Raw genomic sequence first — 24,801 nt, forward strand, 5'->3', positions numbered from 1 at the left:
CTTTATCGCTGTTTATCTTTGTTTTGACAGAGATGTTGCATCAAAAGCAAAGGTTTCTAGAAGCAACAAGGTAACTGTCCAAAGCCCTGGTTAGTTAATCAGATCAGCCCCCAGACATGGGTGTTTCAGACAAGTGGGTTCTGCCTTAGAAGAGGGAGATTTCCAATCAAAATGCGTAATTAGTGGCTAAACAAGAGATGCGTAGGGCCAGCCAGCTGTAAATGCTAAATGAATGTCCATAGAAGGTCAGAAGTTTACTGAATCTGAACCAGATTCCTGTCAGGCCACACTATGTCCAGAAACATTTTCTTACCCAGAAAACCTTAGTAGCTTGGATTGCCAAAGTAATTCAAGTGAGGCCTCTGCTCTATCAATGAAATATAAAAGTTAGATAGAGCTAATTAATAGTATAAAGCATCACTTAAATTACCTTTCAAGCATTCTCAATTACCTTAGAAGAAGCAATTGACAATCATTTGGTATATGAGATATGAATCAACTTTCTCTAATTCATTAAAGCAGGTCCCCCAGAGCCCTGGCCAGACCGTACTTTGATAACCTAGTTTAAGTTATGGAAACAATTTGTACCTGAAAGTAATAGAATGGAATTGCCTTAGAAATCCCCTTCCACATAGTCTGCCATTGTACTTTTTTTTTAAACTATACTTTATAGCATTTCTATCTTAGAGGAAAAGATACCTGCATTGTACGCAGCTGTCTCAAGCCTGACTTCTTTCCAGTGTTCTCCTGGGCAGACCCCTTTCTTCCCTGGGACTCAGTTGGCCTCTCTGTAACACGAGGGGCCTCGTCTCTGAAGTTCATTATCACTCTGAGGGTGCTTGGTTCCCCATTGCTCCGGCGGCCATCAGACACCTGAATCTAACCAGCCGCTGCATTGGGGCAAAAATGTTGACTCAAATGTCCACAATCTCTAATGTCAAAACCTCAAAACCTCAAAAATGTCTTAGGCGAATCAGTTTCTCCAAAGAAAACAAATCTATATTTTTGTCTTGTTTTCTTGGCCTGACTGCCAGGCTGAGCGGAGAGTGTGAGGAAAAAGGCGACTGGGTCCTCCTTCATCAGAATACTCATTTCTCCTGGGCTTCTCCCCATGCTCAGTGCAGCTCCTCAAACAGCTCCTCAAACTGCAGCTCCTCAAACTCCTCAAACTGTCCCTCTGGGACAGGGCCTGTGTCCCAGAGCTCAGAAACTCTCTGGGTCAATTTCTCCAGGGTCAATTGCCGTCCCAGGTCCCCCACCGCCACCATCCCACACTTAGCCCTTTCCCCCACCATCTCCTGCCAATTCAGGAGAAGGGATATTAGCAGGCTGCGGAAGGCTGGGGATGTCTTAAATTTGCTCATTTTAAGACTTCGAGTTAATCCCCTTGTTTTCAGTTTCATGCAACACTCGGGATTCTCTTTATGAGTGTGCAGCATTCAGATGCTTACTATTGTCGACAGCGTCCCCCATCAAAGCCTCTGGGTTCCAGCTTTATCCGGTTTGCTAAGTCAATTGCAGTCGTTCCTCCCCTCAGTGTTGTTGACATCTCATCCACCGCGCTTACCTTTGCCGTTCCTCCACTGGCATTGGGGCGGGGGACGGGAAGAGTGCAGACACATATGGGGTGGAATCTTGCTTCCTTTAACCTGATGCCTCCAGGGTGGAATTCCTTAGGTCGTTTGACCCTCGCCTCTCTTCCCATTTTTCCCTCCTTGCCTTTTGCCAAGACCCAGAGTCACTCCAGGACCTGCTCTCTTCCTCTCACAGCCTCCTCCCTCACTGAGAGGCCTCCCTTAAGATCAGTCCCTCAGAGATCTCTGGGGCTCTGGCCTGTGAGAGAAGCCCTCTCTGCATTTTGGGATTGGCACAGCTGTGGAAGAGAAGAAACGTTCCAACAACCCGGCTGTGCTGACAAAGCTCTTCAAACACTGTCCTGACCATGAATGAGGCCTCTCTGTCTCCCTCCCTCCCTCCCTCCCTGTTCCCTTCCTCCCTTCCTCCCATCCTCCCTCCCTTTCCTTCCTTTGTTTTAAATATAAAAAGTTTCATGTACAGAAAGTGTACAAAATCTTTTTTTTTTTTTTTTTTTTTTGAGCCAGGGTGTCGCTATGTCATCCAGGCTGCAGGCTGGAACTCCTAGGTTCAAGCAATCTTCCTGCCTCAGCCTGCTGAGTAGCTACGACTACAGGCATGTGCTACCATGCCCGGCCGATTTTTGTGTTTTTCATAGAGATGGATTCTCCCGTGTTGCCCAGGCTGGTCTCCATCTCCTGGCCTCGAGTAGTCCTCCCATCTCAGCCTCCCAAAGTGCTGGGATTATAGGCATGAGCCACCCCTCCTGGCCTCCAAATTTATAACTAAAGCCCATCCTTCTCCTACCCCTTTCCTTCTCTCACCCTCTCATCCCAGAAATAATCATTTTTCTAGAGTGGGCATGTATAATTTTCATGTATGCCTCATGTATTATGTGCTCACATTTACATGATCTATATCCTTTGGCAACTTGTTCTTTTCACTCAAAATTTGCGACTTCATTTCTTACAGCTGCTATTTTCATATTCTTTTGCATGTTTTAAAATCTGCTGCTGATGGACCATTTCCACATTTTTTTATTTTATTTAAAGTGTTGCGGTGAACATCCTCGTACGCTTATTTCTCTTTTGGCTTAGACTGCATGAGAGTTCCCTAGGTTGGGTGTCAACAGTGGAACTGCTGTGTTTGGATGCATGTGTTCAGCTGGGGTAGGGCTTGCCAACTTTGTTTCCGAAGTGATTCTCCTTCCCATCAGCAGGGTTTTACCGTGTGCGTGTCACCGCATCCTGTGAAACATCAGCTGTTCTCAAACTTCCCTTTGTGTGCCAATCTGACAGATGCAACAGGGCAGCTCACTGTTTCACTTTGCGTGGCAATCAGTCATTTCCAGTTTTCCTGTTCTGTGAATTGTCTGTTCATAGCATTTGCCCATTTTTCTATTGAGTTGTTTTTTCATATTGAGTTGAAGGACGTCTTCGTATATTCCAAATAATAACCATTTGGCTGTCGTATTGGTTGCAAATATTCCCTCCAACTTTTTGGCTTGTCATTTAACTTTTTAATGGTCTTTTCTCTCGTAGAAAGTTCTAGCTTCTCAAGAGCATAAGAATATTCTCTTATATTCTTTTCTGTAAATTTTAAAGAATTGCTTTGCATGTAGGTCTTTAATATACCTGGTATTTATTTTAGTGTGTAGTATGAGGCAGAAATCCAATTGTTTCTCATATGAATAAATTAATTTCCTGAGCAATATTTGTCTATCCTTGCTGACTGCAAATTTTTTCATTGAGGTATAAAATTCACATTAACAAGTAACTATTTAAAAATGTACAATTCAGCAGTATTTAGTGCATTCATATGCTGTGCAACCACTACCTCTCTCTAGTTCCACAACTTTTTCATCCTAAAAGAACACCCCATAACTTTTTTTTTATGGTAATCATTGCCTTGATTTTCTTTCTTTTTTTTTTTTTTTTTTTTAAGTTCCGGTATTAAGTCCAACACACATTAGCTCTTTTCCCTAATGTTCTCCCCACTCCTACCCTCCCCAAACAGGCCCCAGTGTGTGTTGTTCCCCTCCGTGTCCATGTATTCTTATTGTTCAGCTCCCACTTATAAGTGAGAACATGCAAACACCCCGTATCTTTTAAGGAATCGCTCCCTCTCTCCCAGTCCCTAGCAACCACTAATCTGCTCTTTGTCTCTATAGTTTGCCTATTTTGGATGTTTCATATAAAAGGAATCATATAAGATGTGAACTTTTGATTATGGCTTCTTCCACTTAGCATAATGTCCTGGAGGTTCATCTATCTTATAGCATATAGTACTTTGTTGCTTTTCATAGCTGAATAATACCCAATTGTATGTATATACCACAATTTGTTTATTCCCTTATATCTTAATATACATATGTGTTGTTTCTTCCTTTTGCCTATTATGAATAATACTGCTATACTTAACTGAAATTTAATGTCACCTTTAAGGATAAATGAATTAGAATATGTAAAGTGCTTAGAACAATGCCTAAAACTTACATAGCAGAAACCATGTAAGCCATAGTTACTATTCTTATTATGCGTTTCCATATATTCATGGGTCTGTCATTACTGTCTTTTGTTCCATTTATCTTCTAATCTATTTCTCTGAAAATATCACGTTGTTTCACTTATGACAGTTTTTTAGTAAATTCTAAAATCTGGGAGGGCAAAATATATCCTACACTTGATCTTATTCCTTAAAGTTATTTGATAATCCTTGGCCTTTTCGTCTTCCACATGAATTTTTGAAATAGCCTGTCAAGGTCCATGAAAAATATTAATAGGATGTTGATTAAAATTGCATTGAATTTATAGATAAATTTGAATATGATTGCTTTTTAATGAGTCTTGCCATTCATGAACATTATATAACTTGCTGTATATTTAAGAAAATTTAAACTTTATTTCAATATAATTTTATAATTTCCTTTAAAAATGTCTTGCAAAGTTTTGATAAACTTCTTCGTGTGCAATTGTTAAATTATATTTTAACTCTACGGTTTACCAATTTCTTTGTTGCCATTCATTTCTATATTTAATTCCTTCTTTCTGAGTTCTATTTCCTGAAGGACTTCCCTCAGTAGTTTTTAAAGAAAGAATTTGAGAGTGGAAAAGTTTCTCTTTTTTTTATGAAAATAGGATTATTTAACCCTCATTCTTGAATGATAATTTAGCTGATTAAAGACAACTATATAGACAGCTTGTTTTCTCTCAATAATTTGTAAATATCCTGTTGTTCCCTGGATGCTATTGTTACGAACTCTTCTCTCAGTCTAATTGTTGATCTTTGTCAGTAATCTCTCTGTTCTTTTTAGTTGTTTTTCAGTTTTTCTCTTGGTGATTGCTATGCGATAGTTTCAATCCAGTGTCTCTTAGGTTTAAATTTGTTTTGTATTTATTCTGTTCTGGGTTCATTTTGTTTCTTGCATCTATCAAATCATATCGTTCTGAATCATGTCAGCCATTTTCTCTATTCTTATAGGACTTGAATTAGAGTACGTTCGATACACTCATCTATCCTTCATGTCACTTAACTTCTCTCTCATATTTCCATCTCTGTCTGTGCTGCGTTCCAGGAAATGTATTGATCAGTTCTATTGTTCTAGTCCATTAATCCTTTCTTCAGCTATGTCTAATGTACTTTGTGGCTGTCCACTGGCTTTTTTTTTTTTTTTTTTTTTTTTTTTGAGATGGAGTCTCACTCTGTCTCCCAGGCTGGAGTGCAGTGGCACGATCTCGGCTCACTGCAGCCTCCACCTCCCAGGTTCAAGCAATTCTCCTGCCTCAGCCTCCAGAGTAGCTGGGACTACAGGTGCACACCACCACACCTGGCTAATTTTTGTATTTTTAGTAGAGATGGGGTTTCACCATGTCGGCCAGGATGGTCTCCATCTCTTGACCTCATGATCCACCCACCTCAGCCTCCCAAAGTGCTGGGATTACAGGTGTGAGCCACCGTGCCCGGCCTTCACTTTTTATTTTAATGATTATTGAATTTCTAAAAAATCTACTTAGTTCTTATCAAAATCTGCCTCTTCTTTTTTATATAGTGTCTTGTCTTTAATTCTTCTTTTTAATCATACATATTTAATATTTTTATTGGGTAGTTCTTATCTGAATTTCTTGGCAATGTAATTCTAACAGTTTTAAATCGTCTGACTGTTGCTCAAGATGATTTGTTTCCTCATCTTCCATGTGGGTAAACAGTGGGAGGCATGTATAACCTGGGTTGAGGGTTTATCCTTCATAAGATGTTTGATTTTGCTTTTATCAGATTCCCAGGCATATCACTGTCTCCAGATTCTTTTAATGTTAATTCATTTGCTTGGATGCTCCAGGACCACATAGGAATGGATTCAATTTGCAAACCCATGTGTTAGAGGCAGTGATTACACATTCTCAGGGGAGAACTTTATTTTCATTCAGAACCCAGGCCAAAACAACTTTCTTTGTAATTTCCCTATGCCAATGGGAATATTTTTTTCTTGCCTATCATTTTATCTTAAAGGAGGGTATAGATTTTATGTGGGTCTCTAAGTTCCTACTTTTCAACTTACAAGGGTCCAAGACCTAATCTCCTGGATATTAAATCCCAAGCCTTGAGATTATTAAAATTGTTTAATAAAATTGGCAAACCTTCATCATTCTGGGCTGCAGTAATATCCCCTCATATGTTTATTGATCTAGTTTTAACTTCCCTTTGCACTTTGCCCTAGAGGGAATTTTCTCATATTCTTTGAGCTCAGCTATTTATTTCAGAGAATGTTATGTTTTATCTAGTATTTCTAGGTGCTTTGTAGGAGGAGTGCTTTTAGATATTTAGTCTTCCATACTGTCATTAATCGTTTTTCTCCTTATTTCTGTTCCATACAAATGGTTTTCCTGTTTGGGGGCACTAATGAGTCTTTTTTATTTTTATACTTTATGTTCATCTACTATTACTTTAAGTTTGAACTACAGTGAAGAATCCAAAGGATAATGTCATCTTGACTACAAATCCCAGATCTCTATTACTGATTATGACCAAGCTGATAGTAAATCGGAGGAAACAGTCCAATGTTCCCTAGTATATGTGAGTACATGAATGTGAATTTCTGAAAATTGTTGAAGCTAATTGTGGCAGGCCGTGTTTGTTGTTCACCTAGTAGCTATTCTGCCTAATTTTATTACTGGAAGATACCTGATTTTTGTTTGGATTTCCACTCCTGTCTCATGTGATTCAGGGGTAAATCTTAATTTCTCTGTCATTCCTAGCAATACCATTTGCCTTACTAGTGAGAGATTTAGAAGATGTGTTTCCAATTCTGAACAATGAAATTTGAAGGGAGGTCCACTGGAGACTTCTGGGAAATGTTTCCTTGCTCTTCAAGGGAAAAAAAAGTGGCAGAGTTAAGCTTTTCTTCTGCAAGTTCATTGTTTTCAAAATGTGTTGTCTGAAACTGTCATGACCATTCAGAGACCATGAAGTAGGCACCAAGCCGAGGATGGCAAAACCAGAAAGATGGAAAGATGCTGCCTTCTTGGATAGTAGTGTTGTGCTGATGAATTAATAAAACAGGAAGCCATCTATGTCTTGTTATGTCACTTTTCAATATGTTAGATAATAAATCCCTTTATTTGTTAAGCTAATTAAATGAAAGTTTTCGGTTACCTGCATCTGAAATATGCTAATGGATGTACCATGGTGTAAACCTACCTTTGATTGGTAACAGTCTAAAAGACAAAGGTGAGCATAAGTTCATCCCAACTGGGATTCAATGCTTTAGCCAGATCACTGGTTTAGTGGTACATGAGGAACCTGCATTTACTCTGTGAAAATATATGTCCTAGCCTTAATACGAGAAAAGACCAGGTGATATAAAAGCCCAGGGAATATGAAACATTCCTATGAAAGAAGGATGATAACTCTGAGAAGTCCAAGCCAAAAGGAACTACAGAATGTCTTCTCATTTCCTCACACAAGAAGGGGTTCAAAAGAATAAAGAATGCATCTGCATGCATGCATAACTAGAATCAAAATCATTTAGAGCTGCATCCATATGAGTTATAATTTTATCTATCTTGCTCCCTTGAGCTTGAAAGTGGTCCATTTCTGCAGGTTGGTGTGCTTACAAAGTGGTGGCATAGTGCGATAGAAAAGGAACGTGATTTCAACCAGTTCCTGAGACTGCACTTCCTACCTATATGAACTTGGGTAAATCACTTCTACAAACATGTTTCTTCATCTACAAAATGGAAAATCACTACCTGCCATATAGGGCTGCTATTAAGACTTAAAAAGATTAAGTATGGATTTATAAACTGTAAAGCTCTTTAGTATGTTAGTTAAAATGACCTTTCTCTGATTTTGTAATTTACTCCATGCAAATTAATCTGAAGAGTTAACATTTGCATTCCATTATCCAAAGCAATGATTCCAACACATTTCAGATGACAGGGCTGACCAGCAGAGAAGTCTTCTGAGTGGGTGATGGCTTATGGAGAGCCCAGGTTGCGCATGGTGTGATCCATGACCACCTCACACAGCACTGGTCCTTAGACAACTAAAAGGTGCTGCTGAGGGTGTGCATCTGAGAAGGAAGAGCAGGATCCCATTTTCACAGCAATGACCTAGCTCCCGACTCAGCCATTCCTGCCCACAGTTCTTTCAGGGGCTCTCTTTTGGGACTCAGTTACCTACAGTCTCCACATCTAGACTTTTCTCCATGCAAGGACTAGTAACAATCTCCCACACTTTCTCTTTTGATTTTGTTGGTGGTGGTGCTGTTAAATGTTCTGTGGTTTTAAAAAAGAAACTCACTAATGATTAAGAATACACATTTAACATCTTTAGGAATATTATGAGAAAGAGGAAAAAACTTCTGCAAGCAATACATCTCACCTTTTCAAAATAACAATTCTACATCTGGTCATTTTATCAATATTTGTAAAATCTAAAGGGATCCTTAGGACATGAGGCCAGTCTTCAACTCCTTTTGTGAAAAAGGCAGATCTGGTCCAAAGGTCTTACTTTCAAATGAAGAAACTGAGGCCAAGAGAAGTAAAGGGATTTTTAAATCTACAGTACCATACAAATTTACCCTTACTGTTAGCAAAAGTGGTGAAAAGAATAACTCAACCATATTCTTAAATAAGTAAAAGTTACAAGATTAATAAATTACAATAATGGGGAAATGTTACTTTACATAAGTAATTGCTTTAATAGGTTGGGACACTTACTACTGTTAGAAAAGCAGTAGAAAATATGGAATTGTCAAAGCATTAATCTGCCTTAGTTGATTCCTGGAACATTCCTGCAGATCAGTGCACCATATCCTAAAAGGAACATGGATGAACTTGTTTGTTTAAGGAGTGCCACCAGGATTATGGGATGACTTGAAGTTTTGTCTCATTAGGGATGGTTTAGGTAGAATAAGATGAGAACTTGAAAATGAAACTTACTTGCTTGCTGGATAAATGGTAGGACATGAGGCCAGCCTTCAATTCTGCTAGGTAGTGCTCCCATAGCTAGGCTTCTATATACACAAAGAGTCATTCTTATTCCGATAGCCCTAAGGATTTGGGCTCAATGGATGGAAGCCACAAGAATAGATCTATGCTGAATATAAGGATCTCCCAACCATTAACTATTCTATGAGTAAGTACAACTAAAACAAAGGCCCCCAAGTGAATTATTTTTGCCAAAAAAAATGATTAAAATTAATCCATTCCACACAAAATAAGTATCATTAGTGCTTCTGAAAGAGCTGCACTATAATTCGGTGGCAACTGAGCATTAATTTTAGGTCGTGTGGGAAATATATTCTTATTCACCAGTCTAAGTCATGGGTACTCAGTCTTTATGGCCTTTACTAAACAGTGTTTTCAATGGTGTCCATTTACCATCTGGATTGTAATAATAGTCATGCAAGATTTCTGTTCTGTTCATTTGAGGCCAACTCGAAAGGAGTGCTTTCCAGGTCTCTCAGTTTTAACCATGGGAATCTTTTTCACAAGAAAGCACTTGTTTCCTGCTGCCAATAATTCCAGATATATTCAAATGTCCCATAGACCTTACAACTATTCCAGAATTCTTCAGGAGTATGATTCCCTTATCTTGGCGTAAAGAAAAAAAAAAATCTACTACCTACTTCAGTAACAGTGATAGATTATTCAACTGACTGCATAGTCCAAGAAATCTTTATTGAAAAAGTTAAGAACGCTGTTAATCTTCTAGTTCATGCCCTATTTTTTTTTTTCGTTTTTACTATTTTTGAGAGCATGAATCACTGTGAATTGAATGAAGTGGGAAGATTTGATCAGAAGTGTCAAAGTAGGTTAAGCCTCTCTAACAGTACTCCACAGGGAAAGGAAATGTGCCCTGTTCCAGAGTGGCTGCTTAATTTAAACCATCAATAAGTGCTTGCTTAACTAATTTGCAGCAGCATCCTCTGGTGAAGCTAAAATTTTATAGTTTCCATTCAAATTGCAATCTTTGAACACCTGCTCATTTGTTACATTACTACTCTATAATGTCATGTGCCATGCTCAAAAATATCATTTCTACTTTGGCAAGTCCCTAGCCAGTTATAATAAAGTATGTATCTTGGGCATGGTTTTTCTACTCCTGATATCAGTAGAACTCTATAAGGGTTTATGGTAGAACCCCATGCATTTGATTTTTAGTTTTGATTGTGCTGTGGAAATAGAGGCAAGTTTTATGTCCCATATCCAAAGTTTTTATTTCCTCATTTGTATACCTCAAAAGCTACATATGCTAGTCAACTGTCATAGTAATATTAGACCATATGTAAGAATTCTCCAGGAAAAAAATGTTTTAACTAAGGGCTGGCTTAGGTTTGGGTGTTACTATGGGAAATGCCATATCACAGTTAGGTGTAAAACATAGATAGGGAGAGAACATAAAATTTGGGGTTAAGGGTATAAGGTTCTAAAAGAAATCCAAGAGGCCAACACTGGCTGCATTCATTCAACACCAATGTCCTTGTTTTTAGGAAGAAGTAGAGATAGAGAGGGATGTTGGTGATGTTGGATCCTAATTTCAGTTCCTATCTCACCACAGGACCTTGGGTAAGTCATCTGATATCTGTTTGTCCCATCTGTAAGATCAATTATATGACACAATATAGGGATCAATGAACTTTTCTGTAAAGGGTCTGATAGTAAATTGTTCAGGCTTTGCTGGCCGTATTGTCTTTGTCACAATTACCCAACTCTGCCACTGTAGTGCAAAACCAGCCATAACCAATGCAAATAAATGGGTGTGGTTGTTCCAATAAAACTTTGTAAGAACAGATGATTTGGCCTGTAGGTTGTAGTTTGCCAAGCAATAGTATAATATCTACTTAACAAAGATAACTTAATATTTAAAGAGGTGCCATAAGAAGAAAAGTTAAAATGATGCATAGAGAAGGAAGACTTAAAATGATGGCAAAAGAGAAAAGTGGGTGAAGAGAAAAACTGGTACCATAAGATAAATGTTTTCTACAAAAACAAACAAAACCCAAATACCAAGAACTGAAATCTACTCTTGGTGAAAATCATTTATCAAGGCATTTAAACCACTTTAGGCATTGTAGTCAATCTCTGGGGAAGTTGCTTGATCTTTCTTCAAGTTTAAAATAATGCTAAAGAATTAAATCTTCTTTGTAGTGTTGTTATAATCTTAGTGGATAGAGGACCATGTTGGTATATATATTTCATTACTATTCTAATTTTTTCCCCACTAGAAGTCAATTTTTAAAATCTTTTCATCCAGCAGATATGTAATGTACAAAAGGGATAAAAATAATTTTGATGTGCTTATGTTTCCATATTTGTTCTCAAGTGTCATCCTTCTGATACACATCATGTGGCAACATATATGTTGACACCAATTTCTCTGAACTCTTTATCAAAAAAAATTTGCCAGCACTAACTGTAAAATGAAACATTAGTATGGTCTGAGAGGGAAGAAAATTCTGTTGTTTCTTAGAGTTTCTCCTATAGTCTATGATTTTTCTAAAATTTGAGAAGCAAATTTAATACATTGAGAATTTTGTAGGTATACAGCTCTACAATCTCTTACCTAAAACCCTGAGGCTAGATGTTTCAGAATAGAGGACTTCACATTTAAGAAAGGCAATATGGGCTGGGTGCAGTGGCTCATGCCTGTAGTCCCAGCATTTTGGGAGGCCAAGGTGGGCAGATCACCAGGTCAGGAGTTCAAGACCAGCCTGGCCGATGCGGTGAAACCCTGTCTCTACTAAAAATATAAAAATTAGCCAGGCGTGGTGGTGCACGCCTATAGTCCCAGCTACTCGGGAGGCTGAGGCAGAAGAATCGCTTGAACCTGGGAGGCAAAAGTTGCAGCGAGCTGAGATCGCACCACTCCAGCCTGGATGACAGAGTGAGACATCGTCTCTAAAAAAAAAAAAAAGAAAAGAAAAAAGAAAGACAATATGGTTCATATACCACATAGAGCTTGTATGCCTCCAGGGAAATCTGCAGCAGCACCCCACAACCAAATAAAGTACTTTTGCTACAGCCAAATTATCTACACCAAATAGAATAAAAGACCATGAATAGCCTCATGTCAATTCAGTTCAGATTTTGCTGCCAAATGTCTTTGTTTCAAAGTTTTGCAAAATCTTTTGGTTTTCAGAGCCTTCTGAATTTTTGAATTTTGAATAAGGAACTATGTGTCTGCGGTTTGTAAAAACAAAACAGAAAACTCTTTCTGAAGACTTTTTCACCTCAAAGAGACCCACAGTTGACTGTTTGAATGATACACACTTATAACTGAAGATACTTTCCAGCATGAATTCAAGAATAAGCCTCAATTTTCCCACTAGCGGCACAGTTACCAAGAGAAATGTGCTCCCTCCGCTCCAGTGAGTCTCGATTTCTTCTTAGAGCTGACACACATGGCACAGAACCCACTTTCATCAGTACTCATGGTCATTCTGGCAGTGATTCTCAACCACAAGGGCTTGTCCCCAGAGGACAAATGACCCTGTTATGAGCAATCTTCTATCCTCTAAGAATCTTTGGTTTTTCTCCCCAATAAAAAGATGATTCTTCCAGCTCTGGCAATAATTGCAACTTAATATTAACTAACATTGAGATCTGTAGAGCCCTTTAAGAATTTGATCATTTTAAGTCCAGAGCATTAATTTTTAGTCCTGGCTGTACATTAGAAACACACACAGAACTTCGTTAAAAACAGATATCCAGGCAGCACCAGATCAACATACTTAGAAACTCAAAGCACCAAAAAGATGATAGTGTCCTCCTTCATGCATAATTCAAAATAAAAACAATACTAAATCATAAAACACATGGAAGTAAGTCCACCCTGGATGGCATTTTTCTTACGAAGCTTGGGTACAGTCTTCTTCCTTTTTTTTTTTTTTCCTTTTTTAATGCCCCTGCTTTGCTACAGCCCTCAGCATGAACTTATTCTTCCTACCAGATAATCCAGCACTGGGTGAGCCTTCCAAACTGGTAGTCTGAGCCCCATGTGGAAGAGGGAGGAGAAGAGAAAGACAGCGGTATGGTAGAACATCCCAGACTGCCATGCAGTCTAAGAAAGGTTCTGCAAGGCCACTGAAGAGTCTTCAAGCCAAAGTCGGCTGTCAGAGGAGTTCTGTGTCTCCTAGAATTTCCAGACTAAGTATGTCTTAGTATAACTTCATACTCAGCCAGTCGCTGAGAGAAACCACGGAAGGCATGGGCTCAATGCAAATACAGCAATGGATTTCAAAGTGCAGCTGGGCCCCTAGGTCAACCGCATTCTCTGTAATCCCCCAGTATTGGAGGTCTCTGCCACAGATCTCTAGTGTGATAAAGGGGCTCAGTACCCCTGAGAAAAAGCTTTTCTGACTAGTATCTTGTAAAGTCCTCCATAACTATCAATATAACTTCTCACTATTTTGGGATTGGAAGAGGAAAAGGGAAAGACAAAAAGTAAAGCAAATGTTACTTGAATAACACAAACCCACAAAGTTTTCACACCTGTAAACAATGTGCCAAATGTTTTATTTCTCTCATATGCAAGTAATTACCTCTCAAAGCATTTTTAAAAAACGCATTATTACACTTTACCAATGAATTATTTCTGTCCCTGGAGATTAAATCAAATCAAAATGTTACAAATAGTATCAGTATGATATAATTTCTTAAATATATGGGACATTGTCAACAGCTGTGATTCATATGAAAAATATAATCAGATATCTCAAATTCCTAATTCTGTTTTAAAAACACAAAACACTAGAACAGTTGCTATGAAATTACTGATAATGATCCCTTTAATAAACTGCAATTAACCACTAATATAGAAATTCAATTTAAGCAAGAAGTTTTATATATTATACTTTACAGAAAAAAATAATTTTGAAAAAGTAATGACAAACAGAGATCAAACATTTAGGGCATTAGTTACTGCATTCTCTTTTTAGAATATACATTAAGTAACACTAGTAAAATTTAAAGTTTTATGACCAGGCCTTAAAAAACATGAATGATGATGACAGAACCACTATCACACATAAACAAAAATAGAGCAAACCAAGCGTGTCCACATCTCCATGAATTCAGTGATTTGAAATAAATGTTGTTATGTTAAACATTATGAGCAAATCTAAAGGTTCAACCAAAAAACTTACATATTTTTGAGTATTTTTTAAAGTTTTAATAGTTTATCTCTGATCAAGGATGGAGAAAGGACAAAAAAAAATACTGTCCTGAATTGATTCTCACAGGGCCTGCTCCCTCACAGAACACAGTGTCATTATATATGCCTTATTTATATATAAAACAACCAAAGAATTTTCATTCTTCTTAGTAAGTATTTAAAATACATTCTAGGCGTGCATTAGGAGTAAATGTTAATTTGTGATGCCCTTAAAAGACTTTCAACCTGTAAGAAACAATTTCTGGGAATATAAAAATATTGAATTTTACATATTTCAGAGTCTTGAGAAACTTAAAGTGCAGTATTTTCATGTATCAGCAAATAATAATTGTGTCATATAAGCTCATCTTGAAAGAGGATGTAAATACTTCCAAATTTTTATGAATGCTACATTACAGAGGGCAGAGTGTAGCTATTTTAAGGTTTGATTGTCCAGATTTTTTTATTAGACTGCAAGGAGGAAAAATAAGCACCAAAGTAAAATATGCTTTATTAGGGGGAAAAACAGTGTTTTCATGAAAAGAAAATAGAAAACATGTCATTTCTCCCTTTAGTGACCTTTCTTCATTCAATTACCTGGTTTACCAAGAATGTTAACTCAGTTCAATTATTGAACAAATCACTCTTAAACAAAATGTCAGGATCCAACATTTGTTCATGGGTTAAAGCCTTTTGGCGGGCCGTGGTGGCTCATGCCTGTAATCCCAGCACTTTGGGAGGCTGAGGCATGCGGATCACAAGGTCAGGAGTTCGAGACTAGACTGACCAACATGGTGAAACTCATCTCTACTAAAAATACAAAAAAAAAAAAAATTACCCAGGCGTGGTGGCACACACCTGTAATCCCAGCTACTCAGGAGGCTGAGGCAGTAGAACAGCTTGAACCCGAGAGGCAGAGATTGCAGTGAGCCAAGATCGCACCACTGCATTCCAGCCTGGGCGACAGAGCAAGACTCGGTCTCAAAAAAAAAAAAAACCCCAAAAAAACAAAAATAAAAAAACCTTTCAAAGAACACTAGTCATTCTAAGCTCATTTCTTATTCTTCAGTAAGGCTTTAATTAAATATAAGCCTATTGACCTTTGCTTCACAATTTTAATATTAATGAAAATTTCATTCTGAGTTTGAAGTGACGTTTCTTCAAGGGTCTGACCCATTTGGGTGGTGGCGTAGAAGTGGACTGCTAGCATATACATGGTTACAAAATTAGAGTAAAAACTAAAAGGTGAAAAAACTAGAAAACCCAATACTAGCTATTCCAGAAAACTAAAACTAAAGGATTGCTTGAAAAATTGTCTTTAGCAAGATAAAGCAGAGTGACTTATAGACAAGACCAGTGATTGTTTTTTCTCCCTGTTGGAGCCCCTGAGGTCTGTGATTAAGATGGCAATTGGGGTCTGAGAAGTCTCACTGATGACTGCTTCATCAATTTTTGCTGCTGTCTCGTTGACTGTGCATCCTCAATGGCATTACATGCTCTCTGTAAAGTAAAATACTTATTATGAATTTTAAAGACAAGTATAGGCTCATTTGGTTGAAGGGAAAGGTATGAAAGCAAGGGCTGAAGCTCTCCAAACAGGACCAACAGCTAAGGACCAAGGATACAGTCCAGATGTGTCATATAAAAATAAGACCCTTGCACCCGACTGAGTCCACAGCATATTAAGTTTATATATCCATCCATAGTTATATTTGGGAGAGCTTTGGGAGAAATAATGGTATTCATTATAAGAGGCTTTTAAAAAAGTATTTCAGCTAAAAAAAATTGAGGCATGCTCTTTAAATTGTTTACCTCTGCTGTGGCGGTGTCCTTCAGGTAAACTTTTCGAACACAGCCTTGATTGGCACTGTCTTTTTTGTGGAACAGACCCTGTTCCTGTTTCAAAAGAAACAATGACAGAAAAGAAATTATTCTGAGGAAGAAAAAAATTCCTAACTTTTAATTGTATACTTAAATGTCAACTCTATCTTATAACAAGTAGGCTAACCAAATACACATATTCAAGTAAGATATGAAATAAATCATCTTGGAACAAGGACGGTATTTCCATATGTGAGTTGTTAGAACTTATAAAATTGGATGAGCATACATCTATCTGTATAAAATAATGGCTTTCTGCAGGCTATGATAAATAGCCTACAGAAACACCACTTGGTAACTCATCACATCTGACAAATCAAAAAACCCTTCCTTCATTTCTTTGGCTGATACATAAAATTTCTGTATAATGTAAAATACACTGAGTCAATTCTCACCATTGATGTGAAAGAGAAGTGATAACTGAGGAAACTATAAAATATATGCACAGTGACATAGTCTTTCCTAGTTTGAAAACTATATTTCATACATCAAAACATTCCTTAAATTTTGACACTCTACAATGTAGTAATGCTGAAATACAAAATGGTAGGGTAACACGGTGTTTCCTTTATTTGTAAATTTCCATGAAAAGATAAGTAAACATAAATTAAAGGGTAACAGTACTCACATCTATAGCTATTAAATTTCACAGTAAATGTTCTTCTAGCTACTAAATTTCCCAGTAAAAAACGTTTAGTTTTGCAGATAGTTTCACTAATAGAAATAACATTATTGTTTAGGGAAAACAAATGCACTAAAGAAATTGCCATATTTAGAATAATAATTTATAGTTTTTTAAAGGCATGAAAATAAATTTATAATATATAATGTAACAAACATATTTCAAAGAAAGTTAAGTACTTGAGTCTAAGAACTAAGCAAAAGACAGAGTATCACTTTTACAAATTACTATGTAATTAAAATAAAAGTGCTTCCTTACAAAATGATGGGAGAAAAGACATTTTATCAAATCACTTAATAATCTTCTAAAAACCTAAAAAGAGGGAATCTTTCCAGAAATGTCTAAGATTACAGCAACATGGGTGTCCATATGAAGTTAAAAAAAAAACCTCTCCTATTTACTAATGCTTAATTCTACCAAAAAGAAAATATCAGCATATGAGAATCTTAATTATTTGGGTGGGTAGACTGATATTTCACTCTATGCAATCAAGACTGCCAGAAAATAAGTACAGTTATTCAAATAAATTGATTACATCTTTCTTCACATCTCAGCATATAGTAGTAATAACGACACTAATCCTTCAAATATTTTGTGTAGTTAACTGCAAAACAGTCTAAAAGCAATGAACTCTTAGCTCTAAAGGTGTGACATGTTTTCTTACCTTAACTGAAATTTTTAGCACATTTTCACTGACACTAGGAGGAAATACAAAATCTTCAAATGGACATTGCCAGTCTACACACATAAGGCCCAGGATTTCAACTTCCTTTATACACAACACTCGCCTATTTTGCAAAAGAAAACAAAAACTTACAGTAAATGATGAAGACAGTTTATTCTTGCCAATATTTCACCCTACTGGATGGCAGAGGTAGCACTTGCTTAGTAAACAATATAAACTGGCACTAAAAAAAAAACCTGCTTCATTTTTTTTAAGTCTAGATAACTGTCAAATAAAGAGCAAATATGACACCTACCAAGCAACAAAGTAGACTCAAAAATTCCCCTTCTGTCAATCTTGCAGAATTCAGAAAAGTGTAACTTTTTTTTCTTTTTTCTTTTCTTTTTTTTTTTTTTTTTTTTTTGGTTAACTGACCAAAAAGCTGATAGGGAAATCATCTTTGGAACACATAAGAAACAGGCTGTACTCTCATCTGGGGAGCAATAAAGGCAGATGTCCCTGAAAATGTTTTACTTGGAAAATTATTAATTGCTCTTTACTGTCAGCCATTTATGCCTTCCAGTCAAGAACGAACGTGAAGGAAATGTCATAAACCTTAAATGTCAGCAAGGATTCACTTGAGGCCTACTAATAAAGATCAGATTTGAACACTTTAATGCTAATATACTTTATCACAGAGTATCTTATTTTACTCAATGGCAATAAAAAAAATAACAGAACCCTTAAAGGGCATCCACATTGATTTCTCAGTGTGTGATTCATTTTGATTACTGATATAACTATACTTAAAATTAAGCTTCTATTACAGAAAGCAAAATTACAAAAGAAGAGAAGGACTATTAATTCAACAAATATTTAGGGTGCCAGAGAAACAAGGAAGATAATTCTGCTTGAGAGGTGCTCACTGGCTAGAGGAGAAACAAACATGTAAATAAACGCTACAGCACAATTAGACAAGTGCTGTAACAGAGTGTGCAGATTAGTCTTTTGGAGCGAGAGAGAGAGAGGAACAGATCGTACTGGCAAAGTAGGTGACACAGGAGTTGATTCTTGAAAGGAAGGAGTTCTCTATGTGGGTAAGGGAAATGACAGCCCAGACAAAAGGAGGAACACACTGACATATAAAGGAGTACAAAAAAGGAAAGACTTATCTGAGGAATGTGGAGGTCTGCAGCTGGAATACAAGATAGATACCATGGTGAAGCTGCGAGAAAATGAGCTTAGCGCCAGACCTTGAAGGGCTATTATTTTTCCTTTTAAAAAATGTTTCACTTTTAATGAAACAGGAAATGACGTGATAATGTTCTTTCACTTTTAATGAAGAGGAAATATTTTAGATTCACGGTTCTGGTGGTAAACAGAAGGGAGGTGGCAAAGAGAGTGGCAATAGACAATCAAGGTAGGAAGTTACGGCAATATAAATAGTCCAATCAGGAGACAATGGAAGCCTCAAGTATGGCAGTGGCTCTGAGAAGGGGGAAGAAAGGGCTAGATTGAGATGTTTAGAAGGCAGACATGAATGAACATGGTGACCAATGGAGTGTGGAGAACTGAAATAGATCCCTGGCATTATATTTCTCAGCAGAGGTGCTATTAAATTTTGGACTTGTATGGGATGGTCTTGTGCACTGGACAAAGTTCAACATCCCTAGCCCCAGCCTAGTAAGTGGCAGTAGTGTCCTACAATCACTGTGGCAATCTCCAACACCACCATACATTTCCAAACAGTCTCCACTGCCCACACTCCCGGCCCCAGTCGATAATCAGCTGACAGAGCTAAGGATGGCTGTCACAAATCCTCGTGCCAAACACAATTCACTATTCCAAATATCTTTAAACTCTTCTCTTTACCATCCCAATAATACTACCGTTCTCCTTCCACCTAGAATGTCTCCTTCATTTTCTTCCTCTTGCACCATGTTTACCAGGGTTCAAATCTTGGTCTTCTACTCACACACTCCCTCAGAATGGTCTCTCAGATCTCAACTCGAGATTTTTATCCAAACTCCAACTATCTATCTATCTATCTATCTATCTATCTATCTATCTATCTATCTGTCTATCTATCTCCCTCCCTCCCTATCATGTATTCCTTTCTCCTCTACATCCACTCAGTCACCAAGCCTTGTCTCATAAGTCAAATCCTCATTCTTTAGGCCCTCCCCACTTCCTACCATGATAGCTGCCACAGTCTCTATGGTAGACAGAATTCTAAGACAAGTCTCCAAGATTCCCCAACCCTGGTATATATCTCTGTATAGTGCCCTGGACTTTGAATATAATGGATTTTACTTCCAAGATTAGGTTATTATAAGGCACAGGTGACTCTGAGCAAAAATAGTTTATGTAGGTGGGCCTGACCTAAGTTCATGGACTATAAATCTGCGTAAGAGACCAAGAAGTCAGAGATTCAAAGCACCCTTGTTGGGTTGGAATAAGGGTAGCTTCTAGGAGCTAAGAGCAGCTCGCTGGCTGACAGAGGTCAAAGAAACAGGGATCTTAGAATTCTGCCAACAACAGCAAATGAGCTTGGAAGTGGATTCTGTGGTAATTTGTTGTGCAGCAATACAAAATGTATACAGTCTCTAACTGGTCTCCTTGCCTCTGGACTGATTCTCTTCCAGTATAACATCCAAACCGCCAAGGATCTTTTAAAACTACAAGCCTCATCATATTACTTGTTTACAAACCTTCTGTGGGGTAGAAAAAAAGAGAGATTACTCACGTGTGTACTATTCTGTGTGAGAAGCTACAAGTGATATCAAATAAAAAAATAACTGCCAGCCAGTTATGATGGCTCATGCCTGTAATCCCAGCACTTTGGGAGGCCAAGGTGGGAGGACTGCTTGAGCCCAGAGTTGAAGACCAGCCTGGGCAACATAGTGAGACTCTGTCTCTTCTAAAAATACAAAAAATTAGCTGGTGAATGCCTGTGGTACCAAGTATGCAAGAGGCCAAGGTGGGACAATCACCTGAGCCCAGAGAAGTCGAGAATGCAGTGAATCACGATCGAGCCACTGCACTCCAGACTGGGCAATGAAAATGAGAACCTGTTTCAAAAAAATAAAATAGCAGACTATACCTTAAGCAAAAACCAGTGATTCTCCATCACATTAATGATAAAACCTAAACCCTTAGAATCTTATGAGCTGCTACCTATGACTGATCTCCCAACACTAACACCCTACCATCCAGCCATTCCACACTGATCTTACTGGTCAAAGTGCCATACTATTGTATGCCTCCACTTGCCTCTAGTTTACCTATGCAAGAGCTACATACTCAAGACTCAGCTCAAGCACTCCCTCATCTATAAAAGCCTCCCTGACACTTTTCCCATGACACTGTGGTCCCCATCTTACTGTACCAAGAGTTTTCCCTATGTCCTCAGAGACTCTGTCCATCGCTCTTCTTAGCACCTATCACACGGTGATATCATTGATAATTTGTAGCCCCCTGCCCATTAAAATAGGGAAGGAACAGAGATGTAACTTCATCTCTGTGTCCCTGTATTTGTCATATGTTGATGGTTTTTTTTTTTAAAGTCTGCTCAATAATGAATTTCTCAATAAAGATTACTAAAATAAACTATAGCAGAGTTAGGACCAACTAGTAAAGCTATAGCCTAAGAAACTTAGGTCTTGAGAACTTGTGTTTTGATTTTAAAAACTCATAAGAAAAAAAAATTCAGGGACTAAGTTTTGGGTGAATTTCAAAACAAAAAAATGCTATATACTGAGAAACTCAATTAGCAATCACTAACATGTCAATAATACATTTGACAAAAAGGGCTAATATCATTAATTTGCAAAATGCTCTTTAAATTCAGTAAGAAAAAGACTAACATACCAATGAAAAATGAGCAAAGAATATGAACAAGTAATTCACAAAGTAGCAAATATAAATAGATGATGATATATTAAAAGGTACAGGCTCAACAGTAATCAAAGAAATGCTAATTAAAACAAAAAATTATTTTCTACCCATCAAGCTAGCAAAAAATAAAAGTTTAAGTGATAAAACCTAGTCTCAGCAAAACACAGGAGAAAGAACACTTTCATATATTGTTGAGTGGTATGTAAAAAAACTGATACAACCTTTCTGAAAAATGACTTGGCGATATACAGAAAGGACCTCAAAAATCTTCACAACTTTTAAATTAGCAATCCCCCTTTTAAAATTTTATTCTAATAAAATAATAGAAAAAGATTTGGTTACAAATAAATAACAATAAGATACTAGGGAAAAAATGTCCAATAGTGAGGGAGTATTTTAATAAATTATAGCATATCTGCAAATACAAAATTATGTAGTCATTAAAAATCATGTTGTCAAAGAATATTTAATGCTTTGGGAAGATGATGACAGTATATTGTTACATGAAAAATTGACAAGACTAAAATGTAATAATGCATTTTTTTGTACATAGTTTTCGTAAAATGTGCCAGCTAATGGGGTTATCTTTGGGTGCTGACATTGCTGGTAAAGGATATTTTTAGGGGTGATCATATAATCTGTTATTCAAACCAGGATGTTTTTAAGAATGAAAGGAATAGCTATTGATAATTACATAGGGACAAAACGTGCAAGCAAATCTACTATGTCCTAGGCAAACTAGAACGCATGTATGGTTAGTTATTTTCTTTCTTTTTTTTTTTTTTTTTTTTTTTTTTGAGAGACAGTCTTGCTCTGTTGCCCAAGCTGGAGTGCAGTGGCACAATCTCAGCTCACTGCAACCTTCGCCTCCCAGGTTTAAGTGATTCTCTGGCTTCAGCCTCCCGAATAGCTGGGATTACAGGCATGCGCCACAAAGTCCAGCTAATTTTTTGCATTTTTCGTAGAGATGAGGTTTCACCATGTTGGCCAGGCTGGTCTCGAACTCCCAACCTCAAGTGATCCGCCCGCCTCGGCCTCTCAAAAGTGCTGGGATTACAGGCTTAAGCCACCACACCCAGCCTATTTTCATCTCCTTATTTTCAATACTGGGGTGGCCAAACTGTGCCCTTCAAGCCAAATCCAGCCCAAGACCTGTTTTAATATATAAAATTTTACTGGAACACAGCTATGTCATTCTTGTACATACTGTTCATAGCTGTTTTCTTACTATAAGGGCAAAAACAAAAGGTTGAGAAACACAGTATGGCCCTTAAAGTCTAAATTTTACTATCTGTCCCTTTAAAGAAAGTTTGTTGACTCCTGTTCTATGTTATCTACAATGAATAGCCATAACTTTAGCAATAAAAATTATTTTGGATGTGGTGGTGCATGTATGCCTATAGTCCAGGCTACTTAACAGGCTGAGGCTGGAGGATCACTTGAGTCCAGGAGTTTGAGTCCAGCCTGGCCAACACAGTGAGAGACCCCATTTCTTTAAAAAAGAAAATGTTATTTTTAAGAATACTGAATTTGGAAGAAATGCTACTATTTTAATGTAATCATTAAAGGTCTAAATGATTACCATAATGATAACTACCTCAATCAAATACATTCTTGTTAGAAAGAGTCTACTAAGGCCAGGTGCTGTGACTCATGCCTGTAATCCTGGCACTTTGGGAGGCCAAGGTGGACGGATCACTTGAGGCCAGGAGTTCAAGACTAGCCTGGACAACATAACAAAACCCCGTCTCTAATAAAAATACAAAAATTAGCTGGGCATAGTGGTGCATGCCTGCAATCCCAGCTACTGGGGAGGCTGAGGCACGAGAATCACTTGAACCCAGGAGGCAGAGGTTGCAGTGAGCTGAGATCGCATCACTGGACTCCAGCCTGGGTGACGGAGTGAGACCCTGTCTCAAAAAAAAGAAAGAAAAGGAAAAAGAAAAGAAAAGAGTGAGAAGAGAAGAGAAAAAGTAAAGGAAAAGGAAAAGGAAAGGAAAGGGAAAAGGAAAGGAAAGGAGAAAAGAAAAGGAGTCTACTAAGTAAGGTTAGCAAGGAAACTAAGTCATAGTATTTACTGGTCAGGTATATTTTACTAATTACCTCCTAAACAACTCCATCAGTGACTAGATTTCAAATGATGATGATTTTTCAATGTACTTGAAGAAAAACCAGATATATAATGTATACAGTAATACTCCCACAGAATGGCTTAAATCAAATAGGTACTAAGTATTACCAATAAGTATTACCAAAAAAACCCCAAATTGATTCTCATTGCCCAGTACTGAATTATATAAAAGTGATACAATTTTAAAATGAATTAACACATTGCAACAGCTAAGTACAATATCTAAGACAAAAAAACATTGTTTTTGGCTTAATCTATTGAAGACAATATAAAATTATGGACATAAAAAATAAGTGATTACTTGTCAAAGTCATAAAATCTGCTTTTTAGATTGTTTTGTGAATATTTTTAACTCTTAACTAATGAGCAAATCACATGACTGGAGAATCCTCTCTTACATGAGGATTCTGACATGACTGGTTAACCTCTCTTATCCTGTCATTCAGCTTTTCTTTATTCCCATTCAAACAAATTTAAATGCAGTCATGAGGAATCTAATGCAGATTTTGCCACTGTAAGAACTTTGCCTTACTCTTATAAAGCTCAACACTAAGAAAGTTCTGAAAATTATTAATATATAATTGTCATTTTGGGATAATTTTATTATCTAGGATAGATCCCAGGAAAATAAGCTTGGTAGTTTACTATAAGTTCTTCTATTTGGAAAAATCTACCACAACCAAATGCTTAGGAAAAGCTGAGATAAACATATAGAAGTAATGCCACCCTTTAAAAGGGGTATGCTAATCACTCAAAATAAAACTTAGTAACAAAAGTGATTCATGAATTAATCCTCCATAACTGGACTTGTAATTCATGAAAAAGGGTATCACTATTACAGGTATAAAGCCTAGTCTACATTCTCTCAGTGGTTGTGTAACTTGGATAAGTCCCTAAGCCACACTGAGTCTCAGTTTCAGCATCTTTCAGATGAGGAGGTCGGAAAAGAAAATCTCAAAGGACCTATTTAGATCTGTATTGTGATTCTATGAAAATGAACATTTTGCCATTCACTTTGGAGAATTTTAAGTACAATTTTCCAACTCTTCTGCCATTTTAGCCTTCAAAATTCTTGTGACCTATGCAACTAAGTACTATTTGGAAAAATGTCACTTCAAGTCAGTACCTATTTGTAACCATAAGGATTGTCTTCTTGCTTCCAGGAATAGCACAGTGGTATCGGTAAGTCTCTCCTTCCAACTTTTTGATATGATTCTGAAAAGGAAACCAGGCTCTAGATTTGGGAAGTTATGCATTTAAGTAGTATTTACAATACTGCATATTAGCTAATTATAATAATAGTGTTAGGAAAAAATT

At 37.2% G+C, this 24,801-nt stretch overlaps 1 protein-coding gene and 1 long non-coding RNA gene across 4 annotated transcripts in view; one reads left to right on the forward strand and one right to left on the reverse strand.

Moving 5' to 3' along the window:
* The window catches only part of LOC124903501 (uncharacterized), a 44,799-nt gene that overhangs the window by 4,135 nt on the left and 15,863 nt on the right, over positions 1-24,801 (forward strand). Inside the window, exon 2 of the long non-coding RNA XR_007064668.1 lies at positions 10,568-10,643. This is a non-coding gene — a long non-coding RNA (uncharacterized LOC124903501). The remainder of the gene's footprint in view (positions 1-10,567; positions 10,644-24,801) is intronic.
* Positions 13,560-24,801, reverse strand: part of VPS13C (vacuolar protein sorting 13 homolog C) — a 208,059-nt gene continuing 196,817 nt past the window's right edge. For 2 of the 3 annotated variants that reach the window (NM_017684.5, NM_020821.3), the window contains 4 exons: positions 24,611-24,699; positions 17,457-17,580; positions 16,042-16,125; positions 13,560-15,729 (listed from right to left, as the gene is read on the reverse strand). In NM_017684.5, coding sequence (NP_060154.3) covers positions 15,628-15,729; positions 16,042-16,125; positions 17,457-17,580; positions 24,611-24,699 — 399 coding nt within the window. In that variant the 3' untranslated portion in view covers positions 13,560-15,627. Of the gene's footprint in view, positions 15,730-16,041; positions 16,126-17,456; positions 17,581-24,610; positions 24,700-24,801 lie in introns of those variants that run through there. The other variant, XR_007064464.1, reaches the window with a different exon arrangement.

Source organism: Homo sapiens, chromosome 15, assembly GCF_000001405.40.
Source record: "Homo sapiens chromosome 15, GRCh38.p14 Primary Assembly".
Classification (NCBI taxonomy): Eukaryota; Metazoa; Chordata; class Mammalia; order Primates; family Hominidae; genus Homo; species Homo sapiens.